Below are 12,386 nucleotides of genomic sequence, written 5' to 3' on the forward strand. Positions count from 1 at the left end.
TTTGATCTTTGGCTTCTTAATCTGTTCAAAATTTGTTGTCAAATCGTATGGAATTCCTTTAAATCCAGAATTATAAATGTTATTTTCCATTTGTCTTTTATTAATGATTAAGACAACTTGGCAGTTTGAATCCAATCAATCAAGAATGTGCAAAATCCATTTCATATACATTGGTACAATTAGATACTGACAATAAGGCTCTTTCTTACCTTCCATTTGTACTAAATATGATAAAGATAGCAAGAATACCTTAGCTATTTTCGAGGCATTTTCATCTACATTACTTTGCAATCCCGAAATAGGTTGTGCTTTATTCTGACCCTTTACAATTACCAGAAAGGAATGCAGAGCTTGACAACTTGCAGAGTAATAGAAAAACCTTGATTTTTCATTGCATTTCCCCTTCTGACTTTCTTAGGATCTGAGGGACGACCCTTAACCTTTCTCAGTCTCACTCTCCTGTCTCAAACAAGCTATAATAAAACTTTATTCCAGTCCACTGGGGTATTAGAACAATGAATCTGATAGGATGTCCCTAACACACTGTACTGTGATCTCTATAGGGAAAGTTGCTATAAAAATAAAGACACTGTTGTTATTCTTCCAATTGAGTTATTTGCAAATGGATCTTCTTGATGGAGCCCAGCCCTCCGATATAGAAAAGAAAATTCTATCAGTCCTCTAGGGTACAATTGCCTTGTGGCAATTATACCCATAACCACATTTCCTTATTACTATTTATAAAAGACTGTGGAGTTCAAGGGGAGGCAAAAAGGGAGCTTAAGAAAAAATATGCTGTTTATTTTCAACAGAAGATGCTGAAGTTGCAAATTTGGAACTCAAGGCTATAGGTAAACTTTGACAGAACATGTGTTCCAAATTAGTGTGGTGTTTCTTAGCTGTGTCAGAAAGTCAGAGGTGTCCCTGAGGCTGCAGCGCTTTAGCAAATTTTGGAAATAACTTGGGGAAAAAAAAGGTAAATTACACAGTTAATCTGGTCCTCACTCTACGAATGCTACAAAACAATGACGAAAAGGTTCACGGCTAGACCATTCTCACCAAGAAAGACAGCATATCTCGAGGTACAAAAGGCACAAAAGAAAATTAAACTGAGCTTAGGAAGAAAGTGCTATGGACAATTTTACATGAAAAGCCAAAAGGGAATGTTGGGGCTACGTTGAACTTTCCTGGAGTCTACAGACAGAATACACGTTGCCCCCTATATTCATTACCAACAGCCATAAGAATTAGTAGGTGGCTCAGGTTTAGGCACTTTAAGAATTCCATATTCCTCAAATGGAATTTTTTCAAAGTAAATAATAAAAGCTTTGCTTTATGAAGTATTAGAGAAATGGGGTTTCCCTTCCATAACAGAAATCACTAGGCCCATCACACTGCACGTCTCCAAGGAGCATGATTCACAGTGTGGGCTACGGGGAGGGAGCCTTCTAAAGTCGTTTCGGATGTTCACTATGGCATTCTACGTGTCATTAAAAAAGCCTTATAAATCATCCTAAAATTTAGAGTTTAAACCTGGAACAATTACTTGGATAAAGTTTCTTATGTTAACAGGTTTTTAAAAGTTCAATTTTCAGAAAAGTGTTTGTTGTCAGTGGAGATCTGCATATAATCTAGATTCCAATTAAACACAGAGCTCCAAAAAGACCAATTAAAGGAGAAGTAGAACAGCTTGCCGTATCATGACAATAAATGCTACTTGCCTTATTGTCATTTCACAATCAGTGACATTCAGTCCACAAATTCTAGTGAGCATCAGATTCACCTGAGATGCTTGTTAGAAATTCAGATTCCTCGACCTCACCCGCAATGACTGGGACTCGTACAGCAATGCTGGGGCCAAGAAAGCGCTCTCAACAAGCACCCCAGGTAACTCCCGCACATTGTTCTCAGCCAGTGTACAAGGGACTTGGCTGCTGATGCTTGCTCACAGACACCAAACTGGAAAGCAAAAGGCAGTATGTGACTATAGAGTCCTGAAAACACAAACAAACAAAAATGCAGTCCTTAAGCCAAAACCAATCTCCACTTTTCTCCCTCTCCCTGCCATGTGATGCACCAGCTTTGGCCAAAAATCACATGTGTACAGTGAATCCTAAAAAGCAACTAAATCCAAATCCACACTGAACCATTCTGAACTCTATCACACTTCACAGAGCTTTAAATAGAATTCTACTCAAAACATCACACCCTGACTGGCCAAGGGATTCTTTGGGTTCTGTTGCTTTATCCAAGTGATCCAAAGTGACCCAGGTTCCATTCTGCAAGTTCGCTTCTACAGCTTTTTCCAAGTCGAACACAGAAGGATTAAAAAGAAAACACAAATATTGGCATAGGTGACTTGAGGTTACTTGACCTTTCTGAAGGAAGATTTTTTGGCAATTGTGTTCTGGCAGCTCCCTGGAAGGCAAGGCCAGGACACAAAGAGGAAGACAGGAAGCCGGGAGCTGGCCATGTGTCCTTGGCAGGCAGTAGTGCGGCAGGGTGAACCACCTCATCCCTGCCAAACCAGAAACAGTGGGGAAAGCCCAGCTAATTGGCAACTCACAGCCGGCTACAGTGTACATCCTCGGCTTTAGATGCCTGATAAAGTTAAATGGCCTGCCAGACCCTAATCTACTTAAACAGGATCCTCCTTTACTTTCAAAAACTTAACTCACCCATTTGTGTTTCCTTAAGGAAGTGGTAAGGCAGCATCTTAGAATGTTAAGAGCTGGAAAAATTAAAAACAAAACAGCAAAAAAAGTAAAGATGTGTTGGAGTCTCATTATGCTTATAGCCGTTTTACTTTGTGAAAGGGCCATGTATGTTTGTGCTTTTGGTTTTAGCTAATAAGACTTCCACTTGGTCATTTATTTTTATTTAAAAGAAATTCTCAAGTCAACATTGCAGACTGATTATGACTTCAGTTCATTGGAGGATCCAGGATCCATTTTTTTTTTAATTTCACAAAACTCCTGAAGATATCCAAGGAGACTGCAGAGTTGCACCCAGTTTCCACTCAGCTATTGTTTTTACTTACACATTAGTTGGCTCAATCATATTTGCTAAGGTATTTCTGTATGTACTAGCATAAAATCACCACTTTCTGAGTCTTTTACAGCTAAAATAGGGAATCACGCAGGGAGAACAGGAGCAGAAGGGATTGTCCAAATAAACTGTTCCTTACTGCTGCTGCTAACAGAGTGAATCCAGGGACCTGGAGCCTGGAGCATAATTTTGCCCCTAGGTCTGAAGGCCTGGTAAGAGCAATTTAAAGGGGTGTGCTCAGTAGTTGGGCATATTTCCTTCTATTTTCTGTGAAACTGTTCATGCCTTCTTCAAAACTCAAAGCAAAATTTCAAATTAGCTTCTCCTCCTTAAAATATAGTAGTCAATGGTGAAATTTGATGAAGAAAATGCAAATTTCCTCTCAGAACTGGTAGAAGAGAAAGATTACAATAAACATAATCCACTGTTTTCATCAGAAGTTTCTTAAAGTCTACAGAATATTCATCCTTTAAGCAACCCAGGACCCCAGAATCTGTTTCAGTGAAGTTAGACCAAGGAATAAAACACAATACCAAAACTCACATACTCTCTGATCACGATGTGAGATAAGAAAATAATAATCCTCATGCCCAACACTAGCTCTCAGGATCGGTAAGTCTAAGTATGTGTTTCAGCTCCAAAATTACTATTTTTTTTAAAACACGACTTGACTTTCCCAGACTCTACTTAGTTGACTTTTCACACTAAGTATCCCTAGCTTTTGGAAATTCTCCTTCCCTTTTCCTTTAGGGCACCACTCCTTTCTTAGGTCCAATCCTCTATTTCTGAGGGCTGCTTTCCTGTCTTGATGGCTATCTCCTTCTCTTCTGTTGGTCCCTTATATGTTGGTGATCCCAAAGACGATCCATCCAACTTGGCCATCTTCTTGTCTTTGTACATTCCCCCTCAGCAAACTCAGCTAGGTCCATGTTTACAAATACTACCCGTTTTTTGAGAACTCTGTATCTCCATATCTAGCCCTAACCTCTTCTTTAACTGCAAAACTCCTCCTGATGTTGCTAGTGCACAACCTTTGTACACTCTTGCCTCCCCGCAACCAATCCATATCTCAATTAATGGCATTCACAGCCATTCAGTTTCCCAAGCTGAAAATGCTCATTCCAGAAACCCCAACTCCCCAAAGCTTCACATTCAGTTGTCAGCCCAGACTCTATCTTCCTTTCAAGCCTATTTCCCCATCTCCATCCCAACTGGTGCTAAGTCCCTTATTGAGCTTCACATTTTTACCTCACAATAGCCTCAGCCTCCTCAGGCCATTATGATTCACTCTTCACACTATAACCAGACTCCATCCTCTGCATAGCCACCAGGAATCACAACACTTCACTCCTTAAAACACCTTGGTGGCTTCCAATTGCTAGCTAGGATAATCTACAACCTCCTTAGTACAGCATTCAAGGTGCTCCATAACCTGGCCCCAGCCTAGCCTCACTCTCACAGAAACCATCACCCTTTACCCTCCCCCTCACACCCACACCCAACTTCCTAATATTCTTCTTAACAGTCCTAGAATATGCCGTGCAACTGCAGGTCTGTGCCCTTGCTCATAAGGTTTCTATGCCTGGAATATCCCTTATTTGATGCAAGACAAACGCCTAATTCATCTTTAAAAGCTCTTGAATTTCGTCTGTTACAACCTTCCTGAACCTTATTGCCCCATCTAATGAGACCACCCTCTGGGGCCCACATGGTCTTGCTCACACTTTAGTGCAGGGCCCGACCAGTGCATTATAGTTGGTTGTTTATACATTACTTCTCTCCAAGATTGTGACCTCCTGTATCCCAACTTACCCTGAATAATTTTGGGAATCTATTTAAATGGCATACAAATTTATCTTGGATGTACTATCCATGAAGAAACTGAGACAAAGAGCATTAATTCCCAAAAGAAAGACAAAGTAACCTTAAAAAAAAAAAGTCATAATGAGCTATCAATTTATACAGGTAATTAACATTCAATATTCTGATTGTGACATATACAGATGATATTTATCCATTCGTTTATTTTTTTGAAAAGGACTGAACACCTACAGTGGTCCATGTATCATCCTTGGAACTCAGTCTACAACAGTCAATAAAAGATGATTTGTTCTTGTCTTCATGGAGCTTATGGTTTCATTTGCACAATGTTGACTTTCATTCACTTGCTAGCAGGTAAAATGTGCTCTCTATACAATTTACAAATAAGCAGAATCTGTAATCATTATATTTTGAAGATAAAATTGATACTTTTCACACACACACACACACACACACACACACACACACAAAGATTTAGCAGTGGGACAAACTTTTTCATTTAATTTTTGTTTATAGCAACTAAAACATGAGAGACTAAAAGCCACAGACTGCAAAAGCATTGTTTAGCTGTGATAAGCAGAATGTGTAAAGGTGGTATGATGGCACAACAGCTATTGCAGCATGAAATAATGAGACTATAAAATAATGAGACCACAGTTTTAAAATTCTCCGACTTCCATTATCTTTCAGAATAGATGAAAGGGGTCTACTGACTAGTTCGGGAGCTGAAGAGTCAAATACTATTTTAGGATGAAAATTACTTTGTGGTCACATCCCATTATAGAATATTGATGGAGCCACACTACATGAAAGTCTCAAAAGGAGTACTGAGAGAAAACATCGTTAAGAATTGGTTTTCTGCTACTCAAACCCATCCTCAAGAAAAAACAAAAGCTAATTTAAAAAAATCATCACCAAAGCAAAGTTTCTAAATGGAATGACATAAAAATATCGGTTCTACGTTTCTTGTCTTTTAGAAAAACGACCCATATGTGTAGTATTTTATATGGTTTTCTCTAACGTATCTGAGAAATGGGTAAGCAAATCTATGCAAAGAGATATCATGGATTGTGATGTCATATTTCTTATGAAAAAAATCACCTTCACAATGTCAATTAATACCAAATTTAGCTTTACAACTCCATGAACTCTACCATTTTTTAGGTTAGCTGAAAACGATCTATTGACTAGCTTTGTGAGCTGAACAGTTGAATGCTACTTACATAGAAAATTATTTCTTTCACTCCATAAGAATAATTATCATGGCGATCACACAATTATTACAATTACATCTGTAAGAACTGTTACTGGGAATTTATCTCTGAAACAGTCTCATGCCTTGCAGGGGACATTTATCTTTTTGAATGATCATCAACACGAGTGTCTTTTTGTAGCTATATAAGTGATTTTTACCTCCTTCTATTAATATCCTCTTGCATGCTTTAGAAGCCAAAGGAGACAGCCCCCACATTTTTTTTTTCCTAAAGCAATTGTTTCAGTTAAGCCAGGCCCATGGCATCTTTTGAGACAGAAAGCTACCCTTTCCATTCACGGCAACATAACATTCACAATGTGCTTTCCTAAATGGATGGAAAACCCCTCAAAAAAGCCCCTCAAATCTGTGTTTCATAAACTGTACTCTTAGCAATAAAGTTTATTACAGACCTAAAGTATCTGCATAAACCCGGTTAATTGAAAAGTGGGTGGAGAAGGCTGCCAAATTAAATGTTTACATTAGCACAGCTGTATTGTAAAAACATTCTGCCCCCTGTGCTTTGTAATTATAAGATATTTCTGGACTGTGTATCTCTACAAAGTTTATCTCCACTGCCAAGAGTGTCTTGGCACGGAGCGACTGCAGTTTTTGGCAGCCAGGAGCTCTCCGCGCGGGCAGGATCTAAAATGGCTGCCAAGCGGCCTCCTGAAATGTCGCCGGCCTGGGCCCGCCTCACCAAGGGCAAAGGCCAACCCTGCTACCAAGGCAGGGTCTAAAGTCTGTCTCACAGGAAGTCAAAATGTGTATTTCCCTCATAAATAAGACTTGGTACCACAACTTTTGTGTTGCAGTAGTTAAAGCTGCTTGAAAAACTAACTACAAAGGAATATTGGAATACTACCAGATAGAAAATGGTGACAAGGGGTCTTTTACGAAATTCTGCTGACCTCAACATTTCAATCACACATAATGCCCGCAATATTTTCTGCTGATTAAAGAAACTCATTTAATTTGTGGGGAAAAAAAAATGTTAAAAAAAACCTCAACAAATTCTGACCATATTAAAACATACTACAGAGAAGCATAAGCAAAGCCAACACTTTCCCATTTGCAATGGCATGATTTTGACATAAACTTATAATCTCTATCAAAGCATACGTGTATGAAAAATGAAAACCAAAAAATTAATTTGTTTTCTTCTCATCCTTTAACAGGCTATGTTTGTCTTACAACATTAAAATAACATTAACAAAAGAAAACCTTTTCATACCTTTCTATGGCACAGGCCTCAAAATTTGAGGAATGATCTCTCTTTTCCCGCCGTCCACTGCCCAAGATGTGGAAAGGAAAGAAGGCCAAGGGGAAGAAGGTGGCTCCGGCCCCTGCTGTCTTGAAGAAGCAGGAGGCCAAGAAAGTGGTCAACCCCCTGTTTGAGAAAAGGCCTAAGAATTTTGGCATTAGACAGGACATCCAGCCCAAAAGAGACCTCGCCCGCTTTGTGAAATGGCCCCGCTATAGCAGGTTGCAGCGGCAGAGAGTCATCCTCTATAAGCGACTGAAAATGCCTCCTGCGATTAACCAGTTCACCCAGGACCTGGACCACCAAACAGCTACTCAGCTGCTTAAGCTGCCCCACAAGTACAGACCAGAGACAAAGCAAGAGAAGAAGCAGAGGCTGTTGGCCCGGGCGGAGAAGAAAGCGCCGGCAAAGGGGACCTCCCCACTAAGAACACCTGTCCTTCAAGCAGGAGTTAACACCATCACCACCTTGGTGTAGAATAAGAAAGCTCAGTTGGTGGTGATTGCATACAACATGGATCCCATCGAGCTGGTTGTGTTCCTGCCTGCCCTGTGTCGTAAAATGGGGGTCCCTTACTGCAATATCAAGGGGAAGACAAGACTGGGACATCTAATCCACAGGAAGACCTGCACCACTGCTGCCTTCATACAGGTTAACTCAGAAGACAAAGGGGCTTTGGTTAAGCTGGTGGTAGCTATCAGAACCAATTACAACGACAGAGCCAATGAGATCCGTCATCACTGGGGAGGCAATGTCCTGGGTCCCAAGCCTGTGGCTTACATTGCCAAGCTCAAAAGGCAAAAGCTAAAGAACTTGCCACCAAACTGGGTTAAATGTACACTGTTGAGTTTTCTGTACATAAAAATAATACAAATTTCCCTTCAAAAAACATCTGAGGAATTAACTATGTCTGTGGCATAAAACTGAAAAAAACCGAGATCAGATACATAGTCTCTGTGAGTGAGTTCCAAGGGCTGACCAAAGGAACAAAAATTGGAAGGAAGGGAGGGGAGGGGAGGGGGAAAAAAGAAGGGAGGAAGGAAGGGGGAGGGAAAGCAGGGTGGGAGGGAGGGAAAGAAGAAAGGAAGGGGAATGAAAACGTGGGAGGGAGGAAATGATGGAGACACTGCATGGAACTAAAAATACATACTGATTTGTTCATAGTAGGAATATAAAAAACACTTGAAGAATTAAAAATACTTCATAAGTACACCTTCATAAGTACGATATATACACAAGGTATATATTGTCTCTGTCCTTTTTTTCTCTGTTAAACTTAAATCCCAGCTAACAGGCTATGTTCACAGCAGCCAAATACTGCATAATGAGGTCAGTGGATTTTTCTTTGAGACTGTTCCGCAAGTTTAAGCTCAGGTTGAGAGACACATTAGGCCTGGTGTACTCCTGTAATCATCATTGGCAGTGATTACTGTTTGGTAATCTAAGCTTCAACTGAATCCAACATTCTTGCCTCTGCTGAAAGATAATTCAGAGGTGAAAGATGAATTCCATAATGCTGACACAAACTGGTGGTATTCATCATAGTGCTTATTCACTGAATGCCCATTCTAGCTTGAATTATATGTCCACACACTCAGCAGAGCCACACCAATATTGTTTACTTAATTTTTTTAAGTCTCCATTTTAGGAGAAGAAAATCTAATGTCTCTTTAATCGTATATTTTGAATAATGTCTATTCTCCAGTAGTCACCTGAAAAACACACACACACACACACACACACACTTTTCCTGGACCTTTTTACAGCAGAATAATTTCTCAGCATTATTAATTATGTTTCTGCGTAAAAGACATTTAGGGACTTTTATCCTTTGTTTAATTAGTTATCAAAATAATCAGTCACACAGCTATTTAATAATGGGCCACTCTTAACAGACAGGTGAAACAGAGTGGTTGTGTTCAAAAAATATTTCTAGTTCACTAGTAACTTACTAACTCTCTCTCTCTTTTTTTTTTTTTTCTTCTTTGAGATGGAATCTCACTCTGCCACTCAGGTGCAGTGGTATGATCTCGGCTCACTCGCAACCTCCGCCTCCCAAGGTTCAAACAATCCTCCCACCTCGGCCTCTTGAGTATCTAGGACCACAGATGCACCTGGCTAATTTTTTTGTATTTTTGGTAGAGACAGGGTTTCACCATGCTGCCCAGGCTGGTCTCAAACTCCTGAGCTCAAGCAATCTTCCTGCCTCGGCCTCGCAAACTGCTGGGATTACAGGTGTGAGCCAAGCACCTGGCCCTTACTAACACTCTTAAAACTTGAGCTAATTTCTTTCCTTTCATGAGATTTTATGGTCTGACACTGCTGACTTATTACCTTTTCTTCCTTGAGAGTTTCCAAATACTAAAACAACAATCTGCTCAACAAACAGAAGAATTCGATAAATGTTGATTGACCATCTAGTACCTGCAAAGAGACCCTATGCTATCATATACAGAGTTATGAGATTCAGACAACATGCTTTACAAAAAAAAAAAAAAAAAAAAAAAAAACCTAAGGGATGGTTTCAGATTTTGCCTGTGTCTTAGTTTCAGTCATGTTTGGTATATATTGCCAAGTAGCTATATTTTATATCCCCAACTAGAATACAAGTTTTTGGAGATCATGCTCTATGTCTTACTGACTGCACAAGACAGTGCAACGCATATAAAATTGTCACCTACAAATGAAAGGATTCCAGTGAGGCTAAATGGTGATTAGCTGTGTAAAACCCCACTATTCCATACATTGTATGTGCTTACAATGTTAGCTTATCCTCCTCTTAGCAGCAAATATCTTCTAGGTGAACAGTAATAAAATAATAGTAAGGCTAACAGTCATTGAGTATTTGTTTACATGTCCAATACTGTTCTCAATATTACGGTATCCATAGATTTCGTCCTTGCGATAACACTAAGGGATGCTATTATTATTCCCATTTTCAGATGAGAAAACTTGCCTAAGGCTATCCAACTAATAACTGAAAAAGCCAGGAATTAAACCCAAGCCAAACTGACCCCAGAATCCAAACTAAATTACTGTCTTCCCAAATTAGAGGTGTCACCACTGGACAGAAAAAGAGATACAGTCCAGGTAGAGGTTGCACCTCTGCAATTACAGGGCTCCTTAGTCAATTTTTTCTAATTTTTGACACATACCTTCCCAATTTTCCTGGCAAAAGCCTCCCTTGAGTGGAGGCCACTGACTGTGGGGAGTTTATGTTGTGGTTTGGTAATGTGTACAAACTGGGAGGAGGATGAGACCAGAAAACCCCTTTTGCCCATAGCATGCCACAAATTGAGGACTAAGTCAGTGCATGCTGCTGACAGGCAAAGGGCCAGCTCGGCATGAGCAGCTCCGTGCAGGGACTGCATGTGACACCAGACACCATTTTCAAAGCCACTACCTTCCTCCTTCCCCACAAACCTCTTCATCTCCCACCAAAGTCCTGAAGCTTCACCACAGGATCAAGTAATCCCCCTCTAAGCCACATCTCGTAAATGAGAGTCTAATTTCTCCCACGTGTCATTTTTCACATGAATGTTACTACGGTCTTGGCTGTACTTAACCAGAGTTCAAGGTCTGATGGTTTATCTACAGAGACAACATGACCACAGAGAAGAGCCCGTTTCCATTGCCACCTGAAAGACAGATCCACCAACACAATGTTCACCACTTTCTCACACAGGGCTAAATGAGACTCAAGGAAAGAGCCCAAGGTCAAACATTTCCTTGGTTGAATTTAGGTGGTGGGTTCCCATACAGAGCACAGCACCATCAGATTCACAAGGCCAAATGCCTCAGCATGATGACTTGAAAAGATGACAAGCTGCACACAATGTTCAAAATCTAAATTCAAAGGTCACTTCCCACTCCCTAAATAGTTTTATACCCCAAAAGTCATTTTAGAATCATCTTTCCACTTTTATTCCATATTTGTAATCTGATTTTAATGACCTCAGGGTAGGCCATTTTTTTAAACTCCAGACAGGTTCTAATTCATCTATACAACAAAGCAATACGTGGTGTTAAAAAAAAGACTAAGAGAGTAAATCGATACGTGTTCAGTGTAGTGGCAGTTTAGATTTTTTTTCTTTCAATTGGCAATCCTTCCGACATCAAGGTTAAATTGTACTAAAAAAGAAAAAAATTACACCTCATTCCAAATTTGCTAATTCAAGAAGAACTGAATTATTCTCACGTCTACTTGTGGCAAAACAAGAAATTACTTTATGTCTCAAATGTGAGTATGAATTACGACTAAATTCATAAAAACAGACGTGACTTAAGTTTTTATTTTACTACTTTGAAGTTGTAATGTGTTCATTTTCCTGGTATTTTTACTTAAAAGAGCTTTTTTTTTTTTTTCCTTAAGGACTCTTCACAAGTACTTTTGATAGAGTGGTATAAAATTATCCTATTCCAATGACCATAATATGAAAATCATTTTGCCAAAAAACATCCTGGAAGTTTCCCTCATTTTAGGTACTTGGGATTATTCTCATAAACTGAGGACCATTCAACAATGTTTTGAAGATATACAGTATTCTATTCAGAGGACAAAGCATATATTCAAAAAAATGCAAAAATATTCATCTTTTCTCAAACAACTCCAGTATTAAATTCATCTAGACCCACTGATTCACTCAGTCTTTTTTTTAAGTTTAGTTTCCAATATGATATTATTTCTGCCCTCATCTCTTCCTTGCAACACCCCACCCATAAGGGAAAAGAAGAAACAGTCAGAGATGAAAGAACAACAAAAATGTACACAAAAATGAAATGTTTTCTGATAAGTAGCATGTCAGAGTAAACAAGTTATTTTTTTCCACTATCACTTTCTTACATGATCTACAGCAAAATTATGTTGCCTCTGTCTTATGAATCATCAATACATCACAGCCCAGCCTTTTTCATATATAGTGGGAAAAATGCTGCAGATTATAACTACTGTTTCTGACATGGAGATATTTTTAATTCATTTTTATGACATGCTTATGTTCT

At 39.3% G+C, this 12,386-nt stretch overlaps 1 protein-coding gene and 1 pseudogene across 30 annotated transcripts in view, besides 1 other annotated feature; one reads left to right on the forward strand and one right to left on the reverse strand.

Moving 5' to 3' along the window:
* The window catches only part of NFIB (nuclear factor I B), a 450,235-nt gene that overhangs the window by 114,984 nt on the left and 322,865 nt on the right, over positions 1–12,386 (reverse strand). The gene's annotated exons all lie outside the window — the stretch shown is intronic.
* On the forward strand, positions 7,392–8,269 carry RPL7AP47 (ribosomal protein L7a pseudogene 47; annotated as a pseudogene).
* Positions 7,662–8,161: an enhancer, noted in NCBI's record as "H3K27ac hESC enhancer chr9:14204487-14204986 (GRCh37/hg19 assembly coordinates)". NCBI's record gives its function as "activates a minimal SCP1, AML or CMV promoter by ChIP-STARR-seq in primed H9 embryonic stem cells {active_cell/tissue: H9 hESC(primed)}" and the evidence as "EXISTENCE:reporter gene assay evidence [ECO:0000049][PMID:30033119]".

This window comes from Homo sapiens, chromosome 9, assembly GCF_000001405.40.
Source record: "Homo sapiens chromosome 9, GRCh38.p14 Primary Assembly".
Taxonomy (NCBI): Eukaryota; Metazoa; Chordata; class Mammalia; order Primates; family Hominidae; genus Homo; species Homo sapiens.